This window comes from Homo sapiens, chromosome 4, assembly GCF_000001405.40.
Source record: "Homo sapiens chromosome 4, GRCh38.p14 Primary Assembly".
Classification (NCBI taxonomy): Eukaryota; Metazoa; Chordata; class Mammalia; order Primates; family Hominidae; genus Homo; species Homo sapiens.
The window spans coordinates 151,223,252-151,246,805 of record NC_000004.12 but is presented as its reverse complement, the minus strand read 5'-3'; the positions used below and the strand labels follow the sequence as shown (position 1 = coordinate 151,246,805).

The following is a 23,554-nucleotide window of genomic DNA, read 5'->3' as shown; positions in this document are numbered from 1 at the left end:
AGGCATGAGATATTCAGTGTTCATTTTTCACTTCTTTCTTTTCTCATCAATAAATGGGAATTCTGGGTAAGAGAACATACTTCATAGGGCTCTTGAGAAGGTCAAGTGAGTTAAGCAGTTAGGTAAGTACCTGACAATGTCGAATATGATCATAACTGTATAGTATATTTTAAAAATTATTAATGGCAAAATTTAGATTTGCTATTGTAAAGAACAGTGCCATAAATATCTTTATCTGGAAATTTATCTCACCTTTCTATTTCCTGGAGATAGCTTTTTAGAAGCTGAATGTTGGAGAAAAGGTCATAAACTTTTTAAAGGCCCAAATTACTCTCCAGAAAGATCATACCCACTCCTACCAATGGTAGCTAAGAATGGCTCTATCCTGCACTATTTGTACCAGCTTTGAACATCATCATTGCAAGGAAAATGCTAGGTAATTTGATAAGCCAGAAACAGAATTTGATCATTCTATGTTAGATGATTCAGATGTTGAAAGGATAGATACACAACCTTAATTCAGATGTTACCCTGAAATCCGTGAAACTCAGAGAAATAGAAATGTTGTCAGTACCCATCTATATATATACCAGGAATTAGGTTTTCCTTTTCAGATTCAAATTTTATGTGAGTATTTGCCTTTTGTAACTTTAGCTATTTAATCTGATGGAGAATTTTTCCTGAAAACATAAATTAAAAAATAAGATACCAGAACAAATGCCACCAGGGAAATACTTTATATTTCAGCCTTTTTTTTTTTTTTTGTATGTCTTCAATGGGGTTATAAAGTCATATATCTTTCCAATCTTACTTATTTTTCCTGCTCCAGTTAACTTCATCCCAATCTTTAAACTCTTTGGGAAATGAGAATGGGTCAAGTCCCAGTAAAAGACTCATAAACCCAGGCCGGGAGTGGTGGCTCATGCCTGTAAATCCCAGCACTTTGGGAGGCCAAGGCAGGCAGTCACTTGAGGTCAAGGAGTTCGAGACAGCCTGGCCAATATGGTGAAACCTCGTCTCTACTAAAAATATAAAAATTAGCTAGGCATGGTGGCGCGTGCCTGTAATCCCAGCTACTCAGGAGGCTGGGGCAGGAGAATCACTTGAACCTGGGAGGCGGAGGTTGCAGTGAGCCAGGACTGCGCCACTGCACACCCGCCTGGTGACAGAGTGAGACTCCATCTCAAACAAACAAACAAAAGACTCAGAAGACCACACTGGACCAATGCAAAGCCATCCAATAAATTTGAATTTAGATGACTTTTCAGCTACAGTAAACCAGGAATGTTTATGGTCTTTTACAGGGAACAGGTATGAGGAATATCTAGAAACTCTGGGCACAGTTGCCATTAAAGTCTGGAAAGTAGAAAGAACCCATCTCTATCCAGGCTTCACGCTGCTAAGGGAGGAGTCCCTTTTCCTTAATCAAGCATTGATGTGTAAATCTTGCCAGACAGTGTCTCCTCACTTTTTCCCCTAAAAAAAAAATTAACAAGGAACTGAATCAGGGAACTCAGTAGTTAGTTACACTACTTAATTAAGACTTGAACAAATTAATATATTAGTGATTTTTAAAGGCTTTAACTCAGAAAGGTCAGTAGTGATAAAGCTCCTAAGCAACTTAATTATTATTATTATTATTTTATTTTATTTTATTTTTTTGAGATGGAGTTTTGCTCTGTTGCCCAGGCTGGAGTGTAGTGGCGTGATCTCGGCTCACTGCAACCTTCGCTTCCTGGGTTCAAATGATTTTCCTGCTTCAGCCTCCCGAATAGCTGGGACTACAGGTGTGTGCCACCACACCCGGCTAATTTTTTGTATTTTTAGTAGATACGAGATTTCACCGTGTTAGCCAGGATGGTCTCTTATCTCCTGACCTCGTGATCTGCCCGCCTCGGCCTCCCAAAGTGCTGGGATTACAGGCGTGAGCCACTGCACCCAATTATTTTTATGTATATTTGAATTCTCTACAACAGAGAAATCTGTTTACCTGTCATTTTTGCTATGGCTATGTTTTAGAGATAGCTACACCCAGTGACACTTGGTTAACATTTCAATTCAATATTGGAAACATGTTTTATGTACAGATTAACTGTTTTAAATTGTTGACACAAAAGACTACCACACTTCTGAGGTACACTGGCACCTTAGGCTCTCTCAGAATGTACATTTCACTTGACTGTACACACTGTGGTCTCTGACTATAACATGATTTGGTCAGGCCCTTTCAAAATAGACCTGGATTTACATTTAAATCTCAGTTCGAATAATCTTTATTGTTTGTTTTTATTTACAAGATAATTCTGAGAAGAAGTCATTCTTTTGTGATCCTCGGGTGTAAAAAGAAACAACTTAGAAGCAAGTATTAGAATCTTCCTTTCCCGACTTCGTTGCAGATTCTCTTTTCCTTGGGTTAAATTGAATGTTAAGCTTTCCTTCTATGCCCTATCAACATTTGAACAATTTCTCTAAAATCTAAAGGCTTGTTCTCCAAATTCATATACTAAGATATCTTTGAACCAAACAAAACAAAACAAAACCAAAAACCCTTAAGCAGGGTTGGGTTTTTTTGTGTATTTGTTGTTGTTGTTGTTGTTGTTGTTGTTTGAGATGTGGGAAGATTCTGTGGTATTACAGTAAGATGTCTGTGTCTTGTTTACTATAGACTCTTAAGGGTCAAATAAACTTTTATTCCCTAGTTATTAAATTCAGGGGCTAATAGCCAACTGTTTGATCAAGTCACAGAAATAACTCAGCCTCCCTTCCAATCAACACCTGATAATGCTTTGAACAAATGTACATAAGGCTCTGGAAATTCCACAGTGAGTCTTCAAGGTCCACGGAATTTTTTACTCTTTGAAGAAGGCATGATATTTGGAGATGTACTCCTTGTTCAGTTCTTGGTCTAGCAAGAGTTTGAAAATCTCTGTTGATGGTTTGTCTCCTTTTTAGCAGCAATTCTCAAACTGCAGTACTCAGTCTTCTCTGAGCTTATATCCAAGAATAGCAATTTTCCTCAATACTCAAAAATAAGTAGTTTTTTTGGAATGTCCAGCTTTTCTCCCAACAGTTGTAATGCTTTGACTTACGGTATAGCCCTGGAGACATATGATACAGATCTAGTGTCTCATGGTCTGTTTCAGTTTTCAAAATAATAGCACTAATAATTAGCCATTTGTGTTATGAAGGACCCTCATACCCATTATCTTGCTTAATCTCTTGTCCATATAGGACTTAATTTCTGCCACTAGGCAACATAATATAAACACTTAAAACAGCTAAGAACTTCCATATTGTCAGTGACATCCTGACATGTAAGAGACAGGGATCACTTACATTCCCTCTCATTTTGTTTTGAGGGCCCATGCCAACAACTTATACAATTTCACTACCACATCTTAATGGTATTTACAGAGGGAAATAGAAAGCAAGTGACATTTCTTTTTCATTTTATAGTATAAAGGCTTAAATTTTCATTTGTTGTTTATTATACTTTTTATTGCTCATAACAGAGTACTCTCAATTTAGATATTAAATGATTTTTCTTACAAATAGTTGGACACAGATTACTTAGGAAGTATACAGATTCTTTATTGCAGCTCTATTTGCTCCAAGCTGATTAGCATCATAAAGACTGAGGACAGATAACCAGGGATAGGTCTTTCTTTTTTATTGTGCTATTTGTTTCTAGGGAAATGGAAGAAAAGTTTGGGAATGTTCTCTTCTCTGTAAATCTTTTTGCAATTTTTCTAATAGAATTAATTACCTCATAGAATTATCAGTGCACCTGTCACCTGGAGTTGTTATTGGGAAATTTCTTCTGCATATTCTCTTTTCCCTCTTGATTCATACAGCTTGGTTGTACTATCAATGCCAAATCTATGTTCAGCTTCCTATGTATATCTGGGAGATTTTCTTACAGGTTTTTATTGAAAGATCATTTATCTTTTTTATTTCCCATGTATCATATTTAGAGGTTTAGAATCTTATATCCCTTGTTAAATATAACCCCTCTATTAGTGAAGCTCTCATAACCAGATGCTTTATGTCTTAGAATATTATCATTAATTTCCTAATCAACTGTCACCCAAGGGTATAAAGAATTATATAAAGTCATATAAAAGCTGTGCTTCTAAATATACTTTCTCCTTTTCATTCCATTTCAGTTTTTCCTTTTTACAAGCAAAACTCCTACTTATTAATAAAAATGTGATGCTTTTACTTTCTTTCGCTACCTGTTTTTTAAAGATATGTCAGGAATGTGTTGCCTGAAAAGCCACCTGGATCATGGGACTGCAGTCAGGCTGAGCCAGGTTCCAGTCTCAGCTCTGCCCTTTGCTGGTTTTGTGACTCTGCGCATGTTATTTATCCCCTAAGAACTTCAGTTTCCACATTCTAAAATAGGACTCATTGTAGGACAGTGAGGATTAGAGTTGATGCATATGGCCCACAGAATGGAAGTCAATAAACACAGGTCTAATTATTACCATTACTTTTCAGTTTGGCATAGATCTTGTTGGCCAAGCCAGTATATGAAATTTGTAAGTCATTTTCATAAAGAACCAGAAATCCACTTCTAGAATGTTGTTAACTGAAAATACAAACCTTTTTTTTTTGTTTTGAGACAGGGTCTCACTCTGTTGCCCAGGCTGGAGTGCAGTGGTATGCTCCACTGGAGCCTTGACCTCCCAAGCTCAAGCAATTCTCCTGCCTCAGCCTCTTGAGTTGCTGAGACTGCAGGCTTGCACCACCATGCCTGCCAAATTTTTTGTTTTTTGTAGAGACAGGGTCTCATTTGTTGCCCAGGCTGGTCTCAAACTCCTGGGTTCAAGCAATCCTCACACCGCAGCCTCCCAAAATGCTGGGATTACAGGCATGAGCCACGGACACTGGCCAAAATATGAACTTTAAAATTTTTAATATCATACCAAATTGTATCCATTGAAAACATACTTAAGAGTTCTCATTCATATAGTCTTATACTTCTATAAGTATTAAAATGAACAGCTCAACCATTCACTCATTTAATCAGGGTTATTCTTTTTTTGGTAACAGCTTTATTAGATATAATTCATATACCATAGAGTTCACCCATTTAAAGTGTACAATTTAGCTGGGCACAGTGGCTTGCACCTGTAATCCTAACACTTTGGGAGGCCAAGTTGGGCGGATCACTTGAGCCCAGGAGTTCAAGACCAGCCTGGGCAACATAGTCCCTGTCTTAAATAAATAAATTAGATAAATAAATAAATAAATAAAGTGGTTTTTAGTGTATTCACAGAGTTGTGCAGTCATCACTATAATCAATTTTAGAACATTTTCATAATCCATAAAGAAACCCGAACGTTTTAGCCTTCACTCCTTCAACTCTAGACAACCACTAATTTATAATACTTTCTGTCTTTATAAATAGACCTATTTATTCTAGACATTTCATATAAATGAAATTATGTGACATGTGGTCTCTTGTGACTAGCTTGCTTGCTTACTTATTTATTTACGTATTTATTTATAAAGATAGGGCCTCGCTTTGTAACCCAGGCTGGAGTGCAGTGGCACAATCATAGCTCACTGCTGCCTTGAATTCCTGGGCTCAAGGAATCCTCCTGCCTCAGCCTCCCAAGTAGCTGGGACTACAGGCATGTGCCACCACGGCTGGCTAGTTTTTTAATTTTTTTTTTTTTGTAGAGATCACGTTTCACCACCTTACCCAGGCTGGTCTCAAACTCCTGGGCTAAGGCAATCCTCCCACTTCAGCCTCCCAAAGTGTTGGGATTACACCTGGCTGGCTTCTTTTACTTAATGTTTTCAAGAGTTATCATGTGTGGCATGGACCAGTACTTCGTTCCTTTTTCTTGCTAAATTACATTCCATTGTATGGCTGTACCACATTTTATCCATCACCGGTTGATGGATTTTGGAGTTGTTTCACTTTTTGGCTATTACAAATAATGCTACTATGAATATTTGTGTACAGGATTTTGTGTAGACATGTTTGTATTTCTCTTTGATATAAACCTGAGTAGAATTTCTGAGTCGTATAATAATTCCATGTTTAACCTTCTGATAATTGCTGGACTGTTTTCCAAAGCAACTGTACCATTTTACATTCCTACCAGCAGCGTATGAGGATTCTGATTTCTCAACATCTTTGCCAACATTTGTTATTAATATTAATCTGTCTTTTTCATTATACCCATCCTAGTGGGTGTGAAGTGGTATCTTATTGTGTATTCTTAGTAACTTCTTAAAATTAAATATATACAAATTATATTGCTCATGCTTTGGTGACATCTGGTCAATGGTGAGACTGAGAAATTAAGCCTCATGTGCAGTACCTTCTGCTTATGAAACACGTAGTGAAGAGAACTTCCCTTGACTTTTTTTTTTTTTAAGAGACATGTTCTTGCTTTGTCGCTCAGGCTGGAGTGCAGTAGTGCAATCATAGCTCACTGCAGCCTTGAATTCCTGGGTTTAAGGGATCCTCCTGCCTCAGCCTCCCAAGTAGCTGGGACTACAGGCTCGTGCCACTGTTCCTGGCTAATATTTTAATTTTTATTTTTTGTAAAGACCAGATCTCGCCATCTTACCCAAGCTGGTCTCAAACTCCTGGATTCAAATGATCCTTCCACCTCAGCCTCCCAAGTAGCTGGGACTACAGGCCCATAACATTGTGCCCAGCTAATTAAAAAAAATTTCTTTTGGTAGCGATAGGATCTCCGTATGTTGCCCAAGCTAGTTGCAAACTCCTAGCCTCAAGCAATCCTCCTGCCTCAGCTTCCCAAAGCACTGGGATTACAGTGTGAACAATGGCACCTGACCCAAGAGTTTTTTCCATAGCAGAATTTTAGAGCGTGTTCTACAGATAAATCTCCTCCTGGTCATTTATCCACTAAAGTCTCAGGGTACCTTATTTCATATTTATAACTTTTCAGCTGCCATACCTTTGAACATGTTACCCCCTCTATTAGCTCTATTATCTAATTTTATGCTGAATTAGCATTTCAGGAGAAGTATAAAAGAATGAATGATATGGACCTCTTGAATCTGTTTTTCTTGGCTCTTAATTTTTATGTCTTCTATCTCTGTGTTTTTGACTTGTGTTCTTTAAAATTCTGTCAACATATTTTTTAGATTACATTTATCTATGTCTGTTCCACAGAAGGGAATCCTTTGTGTAGCTTCCTATGCTTCGTCGTCGTAATTGCATTGCTTCCCACCCCTCCCAAAACAGTACATTTTTCATTACATGAATATTATGTTTTTAGTAATTCTGCAATTCTGAAGTAGCACTTCAAAATGCATTCTTTCCAAATAAAAAATTTTTGAAGCCTTGTGGTAAGCACAATACTTCTTCTCTATGAATTAATAGCATCCACCCCTAAAAAAAAACAAAAACAACACAGAGGCTTTTTAGCTCAGCTGATCTCCAGCTTGCAGAGGTGTGGAGAGGACTCATACCAGTATATTCGACAACAGACACTTATGTTGTACCTATTTTGTGTAAGGTGCTCTGCCAGGCATTTCAAGGGATATAAAGGCTCTGTCTTAAAGAACCTTATCGTAGTGGAAGCAATAAGACATAAAGAGGATTATAATGTGAGTCAAAATGTGGTAAGTGCCCATAGGTGCTAAGCACTGAATATATAGATGTCGAGGTGGAGGGCATTATTTCTGCCTGTGGAAGATCAAATAAGGCTTCAAAGTAAAGGTGACAGATGTCTCCAGGTGTCTCTTCTCACTCAAGAATTCTGTGAATCTTTAGAACTGTGAAAAATCAGAATTGGGCACTTACTTTAGAAGCATTCTACACAGTGAGTAATAGAATGAAACAATTGAACATTCTCTTTGTTTGTATTTCTGTATCATTTTGAAAGTGTTGTCTGGATGGAAGTTAATGAAGTGGAGAGGAAGGACAGGGGTGGGCTTGAATTTGCAACAGACGTTGTGTTGTACAGAGAATACATTCCCTATCCTCAGGTAGTTTGTCAAGGCCTGGCTGTGGCTTTACCTCTTCTTGATTGGAAGAAAAAGATTTTTTTTTCACTCTAATGTAGAGTGATAATTCTACATTAGAGACCAAGACTGCCCCACTGTGGATAAAAATCTCAGTTAGAAGTCACAGATCGGAAGAATCCTCATCCAAGCAGAAAATGTTGCCAGAGCTGAGTGTTCTTATACCAGAGGGAGGTGCCTGGTCTTTGGAGCCCGTGAAGGAGTCTTTTGGTTACAGCAGTTTCTGATATTTGTTCATTTTGCAGGGTCAGCTACACAAAGGTATAACTTTATGAGTTCTGTGGCACAAACAAAACTAATGGAAGAGAAGACAATAAAAAGTGGGCCTTTTGCCCTTTAAAGAAAATAAAATCTTTATTTTTACCCTTAACAGCTGAAAACCAATGTGTAGAGATGTTATCCGTCCTTTGGCACCTGAAATCATAATTTTAATTTTTGTTTTCTGTATTCTTGTCTAAGAATTCCATACTATCCTGAAATATGGGAGATTCCAGTAATTTCATAAATAGATAAAAAAATTTACATTTAATCTATCTAGTTCCTTTCTTTATGCCACTCTTTCATCCTACTCAGAAAATTCATTTGGGGACTCTTCTCTTAAGTCTTAGAAAATGACAGTGAGGACTAAAACCCACATGATGAACTAGGAATGAGGGAAGACATTAGGGAGAATGGAAGGGATGGTGATCCCTGGTTGGCACAGTTTATCTGTCTGCCTTTTAGCTCTCTTTCTCCCTCTTCTGCTTACTTTTAGGGCTTATTTATTACTTCTGCCAGAGGCTACAGTGGGAAAATGAAAATCAGATTTATTAATTTTCATTATAGCCCCTGGTTCAGAAGGGCTGGGAAGAGAAAGAAAAGGAAAAATAGGCTGAACCGTTGAATAAGGGAAGGTTTAGAAATTATTTATTAGTACATTGCTGTCCTCTTGACCAGTAATAAAAAAGAAAAATCCTGCAGATTAAGAAATCCCTGTTCGACAAAGGATAATTACCCTTTAGGTAATTCTGCCCACAATATTATGAACTTGCTAAATATTCTGTATTCCTGATACTATTATCATAATAGTAGATGTTTATTGAGCACTTACTCATAGCAAATATACTACCCTTTGTGTACCTTTATTCATTTAATCCTCATTCTGTTTGATGAGATGAGTATTGCTATTATTCCCCATTTTACAGATGTGGACACTGAAGCTTAGAGACGTCAGTTTGTTGTGGTCCTTCAGGTAATAAGTAGTGAAGAACTCAAAACAAGGCCTGTCTGACCTAGAGTTCCTGCTTTTAACATCTACCTAGATTGTCATACTGAAATATTTATTGATTTTCCACTGCAGGCACACCCCAGTAGTAGACACCTGGAGATGGTAAGCAATTGGTGCTGACCTTCTTTATGTAAGCTGTTATTCTGAGATGTACAAATTAACCTAAGCAATGCAAAATCAAAGATATATAAGTGATAGAATTAAAGAAAAAATATAATCTTAAAAGATCTTAAAAGGTTTGTGACCTTATGTCCGAAATTGGCGGGTTCTTGGTCTTGCTGACTTCAAGAATGAAGCCACAGACCCTCGCGGTGAGTGTTACAGCTCTTAAAGGCGGCGTGTCCAGAGTTGTTCATTCCTTCCGCTGGGTTCGTGGTCTCGCTGGCTTCAGGAGTGAAGCTGCAGACTTTCGCGGTGCATGTTACAGCTCATAAAGGCAACACAGACCCAAAGGGTGAGCAGCAGCAAGGTTTATCGTGAAGAGTGAAAGAACAAAGCTTCCACAGTATGGAAGGGGACTTCAGCATGTTGCTGCTGCTGGCTTGGGTGGCCTGCTTTTATTCCCTTATCTGGCCCCACCCACATGCTGCTGATTGGTCCATTTTACAGAGAGCTGATTGGTCCATTTTACAGAGAGCTGATTAGTCCGTTTTACAGACAGCTGATTGGTCCATTTTGACAGATTGTTGATTGGTGCATTTACAAACCTTTAGCTAGACACAGAGTGCCGATTGGCCATTTACAATCCTTTAGCTAGACACAAAAGTTCTCCAAGTCCCCACCTGATTAGCTAGACACAGAGAGCTGATTGGTACATTTACAAAACCTTTAGCTAGACACAGAGTGCTGATTGGTGCATTTACAATCCTTTAGCTAGACACAAAAGTTCTCCAAGTCCCCACCAGATTAGCTAGACACAGAGCGCTGATTGGTGCATTTACAACCCTTTAGCTAGACGCAGAGTGCTGATTGGTGCGTTTACAATCCTTTAGCTAGACACAGAGTGCTGATTGGTGCATTTACAATCCTTTAGCTAGACAGAAAAGTTCTCCAAGTCCCCACCCGACCCAGAAGCCCAGCTGGCTTCACCTCTCAATGGCCCTCGCGGTGGGACTTTGCAGCACCTAGCCCGGGCACTCCGGCAGCCCAGAGGGAGCTCATCCCCCAATCAAGCCCAGCAGGTGCCAGCCAGCTGTGCCAAGTGCGGGGCCCGCGGAACCCACGCACACCTGGAACCCCCGCCAGCCCGCAAGCCCCGGGCGCAGCCCCGGCTCCCGCTTGCACCTCTCCACGAGCTGAGGGAGCCGGCTCTGGCCTCGGCCAGCCCCAGAGAGGGGCCCCCACAGCGCAGCGGCAGGCTGAAGGGCTCCTCCAGCGCGGCCAGAGCGGACGCCGAGGCCGAGGAGGCACCAAGAGTGAACGAGGGCTGCTAGCACGTTGTCATCTCTCAACCTGATTGGATTGGAGGGGAGACTGATTTATCATTGCGTCCCACTGGCTTTGGCACTTGGAGCCTGTGCCTGGCCCTATAGCAGTTGGAGTTCAGTTCATTTGAGAAGTGGTAGCTATGGGTCAGGCCTGGTGCTGGACACGGAGATGACTAAGACTAAGCTCTGTATAAGGGACTTTGGTTTCCTGGGAGAGTGGATGGTGATAATGAGATAACATTGTCTTTGCTTAGGTACCAGATACCAAGTCTGATCCAAATTGATTTTGTAAGAAAAAAAATTTTTTTTTGAGACAGAGTCTTGCTCTTTCACCCAGGCTGGAGTGCAGTGGCGCAATCTCAGCTCACTGCAACCTCCACCTCCCTGGTTCAAGCAATTCTCATGCCTCAGCCTCCCAGGTAGCTGAGATTACAGATGTGCACCACCACACCCAGCTAATTTTTGTATTTTTAGTACAGACAGGTTTTCACCATGTTGGCCAGGCTGGGTCTTGAATTCCTGGCCTCATGTGATTCACCTCCCTTGGCCTCCCAAACTGCTGGGATTACAGGTGTGAGCCACTGCACCTGGCCTGTAAGAAATGTTTTATCCTCAGATTAGTTAGGAGAATGTGTTAAACAAAGTTAAATAAATTTTTTTAATTGCAGGATTTTGAGAGGTTATTGTAATTTGGGAAACACTGAAAGCAATCTGTTATTAGGTCACTTTCTCAGATTGCCTTGCTTATAGCATATCTTATTCCAGGTTAAATTTATGACCTTTATTAAAAACCCACAGAAAACCAAATACCACATGTTCTCACTTAAAGGTGAGAGTTAAACATTGAGTACGCATGGACACAGAGAAGGAACAATGGACACTAGGTCCTACTGGAGGGTGGAGGGCGGGAGGAGGGGGAGGATTGAAAAATGACCTGTTGGGTGCTGTGCTCATTACCTGGGTGACAAAGTAATCTGTACACCAAACCCCTTTGAAACATGTAACAAACCTGCGCATGCACCCCTGAACCTAAAATAAAAGTTGGAGGCTGGGTGTGATGGCTCATGCCTGTAATCCCAGCAGTTTGGGAGGCTGAGGTAGGAGGATCACTTGAGCCCAGGAGTTCGAGACCAGCCTGGGCAACAAAGTGAGATTCCATGTCTACAAGAAAAAAAGTTTTTTTAATTACCCGGGTGTGATGGCACATACCTGTAGTCCCAGCTACTGGGGAGGCGAGGTGGGATCTCCTGAGCCCAGGAGGTCGAGGCTGCAGTGAGCCAAGATTGCACCACTGCACTCCAGCCTGAGTGACGGAGTGAGCCCCTGTCTAAAAAAAAAAAAAAAAAAAAAAAAAAAAAAACACAAACTTGGAAAGAAAACAAAAACCAAAAAAGGAAAGAAAAACCTTTAGGAATGGCCCAATATTTTGCATTTGATAGTCAGGGAACTAAAAGGTCTTTTTATACCTCCTTAAATCACAAATTTTGCTTGCTGAAAAATATTTTATAACAAAAAGAGGTATGAAAGTAACTATTAAGGCAAGAGAATCATTAGGGAGCTTAAGGAGGGAGCAGCAGGAAGGGTTGATGACCCCCTTTCTCTAAGCCAGCTTCCCTTGCCGCTCCCCTCCCTGCCTTACTTCCCAGGACCCAAGTGACACTGATTAAATGTTCATTTTCCTAAAGTCTCTACCAAATTCACCCTGCAGTGAAAAGGGGCAATACAGATGGTGGCTTTGATTTCATCTCTGAAACAACTAACATAAGAACCCCAAATCATTAAAAGCCTGATTCAATAGTCAGTTGAATTCAACAATCAGAATGATTCATTTGAACCATTTCGAAGAAGAACTATTAAAAAGAATTAGCAGCCTGTCACCAAATAGCTGGTTTCTCTTCCAGTTCAAATGTGCTGTAGTTTTTTCCTGTGCGTTTTTTGTTTTGGAGAAGACTATGTTGAGCAGAAGAATAGACCAAATGTGAATTGTTTTAGGAGAAAGTTGACACCAAAATCACTATTGTATTTATAAAAAGTCAAAAAAAAGTATGGGAATTCTTAAGACACATCATTTTGCAGCAATATTAGATATATCCATGAACCAACTACAGCATAAAGGATGCAGGGCAGAAAAGAAAATGGGAGGGCATTGGATAGTACCATTATGAACAAACATTACAGAGTACTGACTGTGAAGCAGAGTCTAACACAGAGACCCTGCCTACATCAGACGCTGCTTAGATAAAGGGGACAGACACATGCTCAAAACCTTATAAACAGCAGTGCACCCTGTCATGCTTAGTGTGAAGTGAGTGCTATAGACGGATAGTCTGAGAGTTCAGATAGGGTGCGTTAGGCAGAATGATGCTATCCCCCTCCGCACAAAGATGTCCACATCGTAATCCCTGGAACCTGCAAATATGTCACATTTCCATGGCAAAGGAGTATTAAGGTTGTGAGTCAACTTGACATAGGGAGATTATTCTGGATTATCCTGGTGTACCCAGTGTCATCATAAAAGTCCTTTAAAGTAGAAGAGGGAGGTAGATGAGGAAACCAGTCAGAAAGAGATTTTTAAATGCTACACTATTGGAGGAAAGGACGACAAGCCAAGGAATGCAAGTGACCTCAGGAAGCTGCGAAAGGCAAGGAAAGGGATTCTCTCCTAGAGCATCGAAAGGGAATGTAGCCTGGCAAACACCTTAATGCAGCGGTCCCCAACCTTTTTGGCACCAGGGGCTGGTCTCATGGAAGACAATTTTTCCATGGACCAGGTGCAGAGGGCTGGTTTCAGGATCATTCAAACATATTACATTTATCGTGTACTTTATTTATATTATTATTACATTATAATATATAATAATTATACAACTCACCATAATGTAGAATCAGTGGGAGCCCTGAGCTGGTTTTCCTGCAACTAGATGGTCCCATCTGGGGGTGATGGGAGACAGTGACAGATCATCAGACATTAGATTCTCATAAGGAACACAAAGCCTAGATCCCTCCCATGTGCGGTTCACAATAGGGTTCAAGCTCCTATGAGGATCTAATGTGGATGCTTATCTGACAGTAGGCAGAGCTCAGGCAGAAATTCTTGCTTGCTTCCTGCCCTGTGGCCCAGTTCCTAACAGGCCATAGACTGGTACTGGTCCATGGCAGAGGGGTTGGGGACCCCCGCATTAATGGGTCTGGGGATACTCATTTTGACTTCTGGCCTCTAGAACTTTAAGATAATACATTTTTGTTGTCTTAAGCTGCTAAGTTTGTGGTAATTTGGTACAGCAGCAGTAAGAAATGAATACAAGGATGCTGAAGAGAGAGAGGAATCAGGGACAGCTTCATGGAGAAGGTGGTTCTTGAGCCATGCATTAAAGATATTAAGAGTGGTAGTCACAGAATTAGAGTCATAGAATTGATGGTCTAGATATTGAACTAAACCTTTCATACCCTTTAATTCATTTATCCTCATAAAAACTCCATAAGGATAGTATTTTCCCCTGTTTTGTAGATGAGAAAACTGAGGCTTAGGGAGGTTAAGTGACTTGTACAGTCACTATGATGCAGTATCATTTGCTACAACTAGTTAATAGCTGGCCTTTTAACAACATGACGGCAGCTGACATTTGTGGTATGCTTAAGTGTACAGACAGGGTGCTAAGAATGTCACTGGCATTATCTCATTTAATCCTCTGAAGATCTAAGTGATTTATAATTTTCTGAGGCCTAGATTTATTTGGCCAGCAATGTGATTGGGTTAGAGGGAAGAAACTGGGGCCAGAAAATCCAGTCAGGACATAAGAGTCCAGACAATTGCTGATAAGAACCTAAAATGAGGGTAAAAACAGTGGGGATGGGAAGGAGAAAACATTCCAGAGATAGTCTGCTTCTTTGTTGAAACATAAATTCTTTTTTGAGACAGAGTCTTCCTCCATCCCCCAGGCTGGAGTGCAGTGGCGTGACCTCAGCTGACTGCAACCTCCGCCTCCCGGGTTCAAGCGATTCTCCTGCCTCAGCATCCTGAGCAGCTGGGATTACAGGTGTGCGCCACCATGTCCAGCTAATTTTTGTAGTTTTACTAGAGACAGGGTTTCACCATGTTGGCCAGTCTGGTCTTGAACTCCTGACCTCAAGTGATCCGCCCACCTCAGCCTCCCAAAGTGCTGGGATTACAGGCATGAGCCACCCCAGCCAGCCAAGACATAAATTCTTGTTTGAAGAAACTTCCTTTCCATCTCCAATTCTTCCCTTCCTGGGTAATTAGAGTACTGCATTTTAATGAATTTTAATGAATTTAGGCACTTTAATTAATGAACGATGTCACTATTGATAGTGCTGTAGACCAGACTTTCCCACTTACCCATGGAAGCATGGGCAGCAGCAGCCATGTAAACTTCTCTGTAGTATGTCTTATTTCTCCCCTGCAGTGGTAACTGACAGAGACCCTCTTTAATTTCTTGGCTTTTTTAACCAAGAGAGTAGGAATTTTCTGACTTAATGTGTTATTTCAGCAACAACAAATATATATTTATTGAAAAGGTATCATTTAAAAGAACAATAGACCATCACTGTGGGAATCTCAAATGTAAATAAAAATCAGTTTGGAGACACACCTAAACAAGGCTGTCAAATAGAAAGCAGAGGTGGATTCATATTAGTTGGTGTCAGTAACTTTGTAGAATGAGCACTGCCTTCTTTTCAAGTGTATGTATATATATGCTTGAAGTATATACTTGAAATATATATATATATTTGCAGTTTTCTCTCTCTAAATATAGGAACCATTTAAGGTTTTTAGAAAAGTTATTTGAAATTCTGATATCTGATAAGTAAAATCCCATCCATGGTCTATTTGTTTGGAATCAATTATGCAATCTTTTAAAGAATCACCAAAGTAAGATGTATGAACACTGGATATCTTATGTCTTATAATGGATGAGTTCATTGTTTTATTTATTCTGCTTGTCATAAGTAAAGATGTAATGACATTGCTGCTGCAAATAATTTGTTTTCAGCCCCAAGGAACCTTTAGGTAATTCTGAATGGCACAAAGGGTTTATATAGGGTTCATCCATATTTTAAAAATAATATATACCGTATATACTCCCAAGCTGGAACTTAACAGTAATGCTTGGGAGTATGCTACAGAATCGCTTCATTGGTAATGCATCTGCTAAAGAGATTTTGGTATGCCAAGATGAGATATAAGATGGACACTTTGGCCGGGGATGGTGGCTCACACCTATAATCCCAGCACTTTGGGAGGCTGAGGTGGCTGGATCATGAGGTCAGGAGTTCGAGACCAGCCTGGCCAATATGGTGAAACCCCATCTCTACTAAAAATACAAAAATTAGCCGGGCATGGTGGCATGCACCTGTAGTCCCAGCTGAGGCAGAAGAATCACTTGAACCTGGGAGGCAGAGATTGCAGTGAGCCGAGATTGCACTCCAGCCTGGGTGACAGAGTGAGACTCTGTCTCAATTAAAAAAAAAAAAAAAAAGACTCACTTTAAACCACTTCTTACTCCATTGTGAGTATATCTGTGTATATTCATTCATGTAGACTGAGCCTTGCCCTTAATTTCAAAGAATGATTTCAGGTCTTTCATTTCCAACTTGAGTCAGTAAAGTAAGTCCCTACCCAATGGGGTTTGATTTTTCTCTCCTGTTAAGTGATCAAAGCTAAATCATCAAAGCCTGAATGTCTTACAACAGATTCTAATAAGTTCTGAGTTGGCTATTCTTCTTAGTTTTAATCAAAGCAAAGATGGCATTTGCATTTTTGTCATCTCCATTTCAAAGTATTATTAGAGTCAGAATCACCCTGAATGGTTCCACATCAGTAGGATCTGCGTAGCCGTACCCAAAAACTGTCTGTGCCAGAACAGGGGCCCATTTCTACGTAAGTGGCGTAACACCTAAATACATAAACATTGGAATCATATGTCTAGATTACATAGAACCAAGTTGACATGAAAGGAAAATGTGGATAATCTGGAGTTCTTACACAGAATCCTTGACCCATGATAGCATCCCACCACTCCCCTAACTGTTCTTCAGTCCCCTTGACATACCATGGGTTCCCCCATTGCATCCCTCACATCTCCCCCACAGCATTTATACACACACAACCAATAGTCTTTGTGCCAGCTCTGCCTTGTTTTTTGTTTTTGTTTTTGTTTTTGAGACAGAGTTTCACTCCGTCACCCAGGCTGGAATGCAGTGGCGTGATTTTGGCTCACTGCACCCTTCATCTCCCGAGCTCAAGTGATCCTCCCACCTCAGCCCGCAGAGTAGCTGGGATTACAGGCGTGCACCACCACGTCCAGCTAATTTTTTTGTACTTTTGGTAGAGATGCGGTTTTGCCATGTTGGCCAGGCTGGTCCCAAACTCCTGACCTCAGGTGATCCACCCACCTCGGCCTCCCAAAGTACTGGGATTACAGGTGTGAACCACTGCACCCAGCCTCTGCCTTGTTTTCTGTCTTTGTTCTACTTACAGAGTACTTTTCTATTCCTCAGTTAGCCTTATTAACCATGAGGCATGGATGAGAGGGACAGGGAATGGAAGAGCGGGGTGTGTGTGTGTATGTGTGTGTGTGATACATATCTATAAAACCATTACATGGTTACCCAGCCATGGTTACCCTCACACTGAGTATATACTGCTGGTCTTTGAGTGACCTAAACCATCATGCTCTGCTGGGCAGGCCCCTGGAATAAGTATATCATCCACAGCAAATGTGTAGCATTTGGCAAATTTTAGAGTTAAGGCATTTTATTTTTAATAACTCTTTTTTTCATAGAAATGATGAGACTTTGGGCTAGAAAGTTATTCATATGATTTCTAAATATGCAGAAGTTCAGAAAACCTTTAGAAATATTCTCCCCCAATTAATTTGAAAATTAGAAACTAAAAAATTGGAAGGCTGAGCACAGTGGCTCATGCCTGCAATCCCAACACTTTGGGAGGCCAAGGCAGGAGGATCGCTTGAGTCCCGAAGTTTGAGACCAGCCTGGACAAAATAGGGAGACCCTGTCTCTACAAAAAAAAAAAAAAAAATTTAATTAGCTAGGCGTGGTGGCATGTGCCTGTAATCCTAACTACTTCAACTACTTGGGAGGCTGAGATGGGAGGATCACTTGAGCTCAGGAGCTCAAGGCTGCAGTGAGCTGTGATTGCACCACTGCACTCCAGCCTGGAGTACAGAGCGAAACCTTGTCTCAAAAGAAAAAAAAAAAGAAAAGAAAAAATTCAGAGAATGTGCTGAAGAGTATTTGATTTAAAATAAAATCCATACACTTAAAGCACTATATATAGCCAAGATTAAATTTCCATGTTTGCTATAGATCTGTTCTCATTCTTGGGCTTTCATCCAAATGTTTTGTTATTGTTGGCAAGAAAGCAGATTCTGAATCCACCCTCAGTGATTTGTTTTGTTCAGTCTTGGCTTTTGGAACAAAATAATAACCACTTATTATTTTGCCAAAAAATTTATTTCTACTAATATATTTCTTGACAATTGCACAATAATCTTGACTATCATGAAAATTACTTTAAAATGTAAGTATATGAAAAAGTATAAGTATATAAGACACACAGATACGCAACACACACCCCATTATTTATATGTATTTAAGCTAAAAGATGGCTTTATGGCAAAATGTGAAATCCAAATATTTGTATACTTTGAGGGAAAAGATCAAGCCAAGAACATGTGTTTCAATTTGTTTTTCATGGTCAAGAGGTGAGGGATGGGAAATATTGTGAGTAATGGATAATTTACCCTTACCCTCAAATTATCAACTATGTGAATTCTTAGGAGTAACATTTTATAAGTACTGCGTATCTATATTTACACAGGAATGTAACACAGATAACACTAATAGTGAATTTGGGGGGAAAATTTTAAAATTTCCCCCAGCAGATAATCAAGTCTTTTGTTGAATTTTAATTACTGGTTCAATAGAAAAGTGCTATGAGAAGACATTTGTATTTTCTTAGAGCAGAAAGTATAAAAATGACTGTAGAATTTCCTGTTTTAACCAAGAACGAAGGAGAGCTGTGAGCCATTTGCTTCCTGAGTGGCCACATTCCAGCTGTGCAGACTGGTCATAGCACATCTGCCAATCAGAACAGGCCCTGGAGGGAAGCCCTTGGATACTGAGTCTTGTTTACATGCATCGTGACTCTGTTTCTCCCTTCCTCTTGTGTGTTGTACCACTAGGAAGATTAGTGGGGAAATTTGCTATTACATGCCTAAGTAAACTATGTAACTAGGATCACAGCCACAGGAAATGATGTTCTGGACAGAGTTTTAGCTCGGCTTTAGCCACAGGTAAGAGTTGTTGCTTTGTTATATGAGGATAGCTAATCTGTATTCAGTTTCTGGCTTTACTTTGAGACATTATACTTCATTTTTGTAGCGAAGCTAGCAGGCTAAAAACTGGAGAATGATTGAGAGAAATGATTTAAATGTGCCCTGCGTTACTATGACTTTAAAATCTTAATACTCATCAAATGAAAAACATGATATTTTCATTTAAGGGAGGGGTAAAACCAAGTTAAATTAAAACAGAAAAGTTTTAAAAGCTGCAGTAATACTAAGTCACAGTGTAGAAAAATTGGAACCAGAAATGTGCTAACACTATGTGTTTGGAAATCATTATATCTAAGCAGGCATGCTTTATTGTGAATCTTTTTACTTATTAGTCTTTCAGAGAACAGTGTTTTCATGAGTACTAACTCTTTGGCTTTGAAAAACATTTCTTTTTTATTATGAACTCATTCAGAAAGAATTGTTACATACGTTTAACTGTGTAAATCCTATTCCTTTTCTTCCATATTTCTTTCTAGAAGTTTTAGAGTATGTTTCATAATCCTCTTATTCTGTTCTAACAGCAATAAAATTAAGGAAAAACTAAAAGCATTCCTGTCTTAATCTTTACGTTGCCATTAAATTCTATCTTGTTAGCATTAATTCAGAAGATACTATAGAAAACTGTATTTTGATAATATTCCATAGGATTTTTTCTTAACGTCATTGCTTAGGATATATTGTGGTTTGTATATTGCTTCATATTGTTTATTTTTGCATAACACTGCGGCCTTTTACTTCATTTATTTTTAATTCTTAAGCATATAGTGGAGGAAAAATTGTTACTCAGGTTCAAAAAAGACAACCTGTGGGTTTTATGGTTCTCTTGTATATGATAGTCTCAAGGTTGATTAATAGCATGTTACAGCAGTCTAGAGAGTCACTTTTGAAAAGTTCAAGCATCTGTGCTCTTATTTCTTACCCTATAGCAGGGTTTCTCGACCTCTGCACTGCTGACATTTTGGATGAGATAATTCTTTTGGTGAAAGGGACCGCTCTATGCATTGTAGGATCTTTAGCAACATTCCTGCTTTCTACCCATGAGAGTTCCCTTCTTCCCAGTTGTGACGATCAAAAATTTTATATAGAGAGCACATTATATCTAATTACTGGAGAAACATTGAAATCCAACTTCTGAAATGTTCTGGGTGGTAGATAGTTAAGGGTGAAGCTGTATTGGTCTTAGTATTTGCAGATGTTGTAGCTGACTGCTCATTTTTCCCCCTCCCCATTCTGTTAGAAGCTTCTGCCAACCATGATTCATGGAATGATTTTTTTGAGCTGAGTAATCTGTGGCTTTGCAGTTTCCTTGCTTTCTTTCCTTAGCTAAATCTCTTCTAGTGTTAGCAAAGTATTTAGCACAGGAAAGATCTTATAAAATGAAATAATGCATGTAATGATGCATTTTCCAAGTAGATGATTTTAACAAACCGTAAGCTTTTATGCCTGTCCTTCATTGTGTCTTTTCTGCCTCTGTCAGGCGAACTGTGATGAAGAGCCTTATACTTAGGAAGACACAACTACCTTTGAACAGTCCTTTGTGAAATCTAATGGTATGGCAGCTGGTATTTAAAAACTTCTTTCCAGAGCTTTTAAAGAACCTTTTGACACGTAACCATCTTCTTTCTCTACAGATCGCAACGAACGAAATAAACCAGAACATCGTTCTTCAAGGTATGAATTTACAGTATCTAATAATTCTGTATAAAGCTTCTTATTTGAAAAGTATTGTTTGGAAGCAATGTAAGTGTCCTCTTTAGAGTTACTGTCTATTGGAATCTTCTGTAGCATTCAGAGAAGCTTCATAAGGGAAATCTTATTCATTCTCTGAATTAAAATTTCACATAAAACTATTGACTACCTGGAAAACATGTTTTATTTTAGGAATTCCCATCAGTGACAGATATATTTTCGTAAAAATTATTTTACTCTCATTTATTAGTTTTTGTGACTTATTTTCCTCCCCTCCCTTTAACCAGTATTTTTGTAAGTGTGTACTGCTGTTTTCCTAATCATAAAACTAATATAGGCTCACTGTAGAAATTTAAAAGATATTTTAAAAATACAAAGCATGAAAAAAGCAGAACAAAACAAAACCCAGACTGCCTTCCATCAGCCAGAGATGGCTGGCTATTGCTAAAATTTTGGTACATTTCTTTCTAGACTTTTAGATTATATATGTATGTATATATTCAAATGGATTATTTTATGTTTTTGTTAGGTATTTCAAGTGGCCAGGAAGGTTGTATCACTTAAGCTCTCAACCACACTGAGTGTATTTCACTAGAATTCTCCAACACTGAAGAGTACATTAAAAAATCCTTGTCAAACTTATAGGTGAAAAATTGTCTGACTTCTCATAGGCAGGACTGACAGGCTATATTTAATATTTGTAACCCAGTACTATGAAAGATTATAATTTTTCTAATATTAATTTCTTTTTATTCCACATTCTACCACCTTTTTTGATGTTTTATTTTGTGGGAATTGTTAAAGTAATGTACTCATTGGATTGACTGCTCTGGTAAGCCAAATCCTGGTGCTTTTTCAAGAGATCAAACCCTAGAGTGCATTGACCTCAATCAATAAAAATATAAGATCTATAAAAATTTCATTGCTTAGAATAGCAATGCGTTTTGCAGAAATTGTCAATCAAAATAAGTTAGTGAGACCTAATCTGAGAGAAGAATATAGCTGGGTATTTAGAATATTGACTGATTTTTTTTCCAGGTACAATTTACATATGTTAAAATTCATTCTTTTTTGTGTATAATCTTACTAGTTTTGATAGGCATGTACAATTATGTATCTACCACCATAATCATTAAACAGTTCGTAAGATTCTTTTATATTAGATACTTAAAGAAAAATAGCAGCCAGGCATGGTGGTTCACACCTGTAATCGCAGCTACTTGGGAGGCTGAGGCAGGAGGATCGCTTGAGCCCAGGAGTTCAAGACTAGCCTAGGCAACATAGCAAAACACTGTCTCATCTCTGTTAAAAATAAAAATAAGGCAATGTAAGAGAAAGGACTTTGACAGCATGCTTAACTGTGAGTGACATAAAGTTGGAAGAGTCAAAAATACTTAGGATGGTAAAACCAGGATCCCCAAGACCTTTGACATTCTGAAGATTGGACTGAACTGAGCAATATGAATTTTAATAGGCACAAATGGAAACCCTTAGAATGAAACACCAGTGGAACATAAAAAGATAAGGGAGATGTGACTTAGCAATATTTTTGAAAAAGTCTGAAGGATTTAGTTCTTCATAAATTTACCATGAATCAAAAATCTTATGTCATTACATCTACCTTCCCCCAAAAAAGTCTGCACCGATTTGATTACACTGAAAGAAGTTTAATGTTCAGGCTAAAAGTGGTAGCTCTAGATCATACTTTTTTTTTTTCTTTGAGATGGAGTCTCGCCCTGTTTCCCAGGCTGGAGTGCAGTGGCACAATCTCGGCTCACTGCAAGCTCCGCCTCCTGGATTGACGCCATTCTCCTGCCTCAGCCTCCCGAGTAGCTGGGACTACAGGTGCCCGCCACCATGCCTGGCTAATTTTTTGTGTTTTTAGTAGAGACGGGGTTTCACCATGTTAGCCAGGGTGGTCTCGATCTCTTGACCTCGTGATCCACCTGCCTCGGCCTCCCAAGGTGCTGGGATTACAGGCGTGAGCCACCGTGCCCGGCCTAGATCATACTTTTGATATTCTGTTCAATTTGGGGTCCACAAGACCTTGAAAAACTGAAGTATGCAGTGGAGTGACTGTATAGATACCACATGGAGACCTTAAAAAACAAAACAAAACAGAATCCCATGCCCAACCCCAGATATTCTATTTAATAAGTCTCAAATGAATCCTCAAAATCTGTATATTAAACAAGTCCCCCAGTGATTCTGATGCGTAGTCAGGTTGGGGACCACTGGTCTAGAATATAGCAGCTGAGTTGGGACAGGGAAGATGAAAAAAAAGAGTAAGATAAAAGTCAAAGCTAAACCATAGGAAGACTGGTGTGAGGAACTGGGAGAACTTAGCCCAGATGTGAAAGTTTGGGGAAGTGCATGGGATGGAAACGATAACTGGCTTCAAACACCCAGAGGCTGATACGTGGAGGAAACTAGCAGAATTCTTCCTAATAAATGCTGTTCCCTACTAAGAGGAATGCTGGCCACTGGAGGAATGGCGGATTCTGGGTCTGGGCTAAGGGAAAATACAAGATGATCCTGGACATCTAGTTGTGATAGAAAGCTAGGAAGTGCTCAACTAATGGGGTCATGTTGAAAAGACAGATGGTAGCATCAAGGGATTTTCACTGGCCAAATTTTGGGGTAATTTGAGTATCCAAAAAAAATGATGATAATGGATCCCATGTAGGAGAAATGACAGAACTTAGAAAATCATCATTTTGTAATTCTCAAAGTAATAGTTGATGCAGGCAAAGATCATCAGTGGCAGCTAAAACTTC

General features: G+C 39.3%; 1 protein-coding gene across 13 annotated transcripts in view; it reads left to right on the top strand.

Moving 5' to 3' along the window:
* Nucleotides 1-23,554, top strand: part of SH3D19 (SH3 domain containing 19) — a 205,325-nt gene that overhangs the window by 78,800 nt on the left and 102,971 nt on the right. For 5 of the 13 annotated variants that reach the window (NM_001378130.1, NM_001378127.1, NM_001009555.4 and 2 more), the window contains exons 1-2: nucleotides 20,386-20,638; nucleotides 20,720-20,759. Coding sequence is in view for 2 of the 13 variants with exons in the window: in NM_001378122.1 (NP_001365051.1) it covers nucleotides 20,720-20,759 (40 nt within the window). In the remaining 11 variants the exon portion in view is untranslated. Of the gene's footprint in view, nucleotides 1-18,896; nucleotides 19,047-20,385; nucleotides 20,639-20,719; nucleotides 20,760-23,554 lie in introns of those variants that run through there. The other 8 variants (NM_001378131.1, NM_001378128.1, NM_001378122.1 and 5 more) reach the window with 3 other exon arrangements.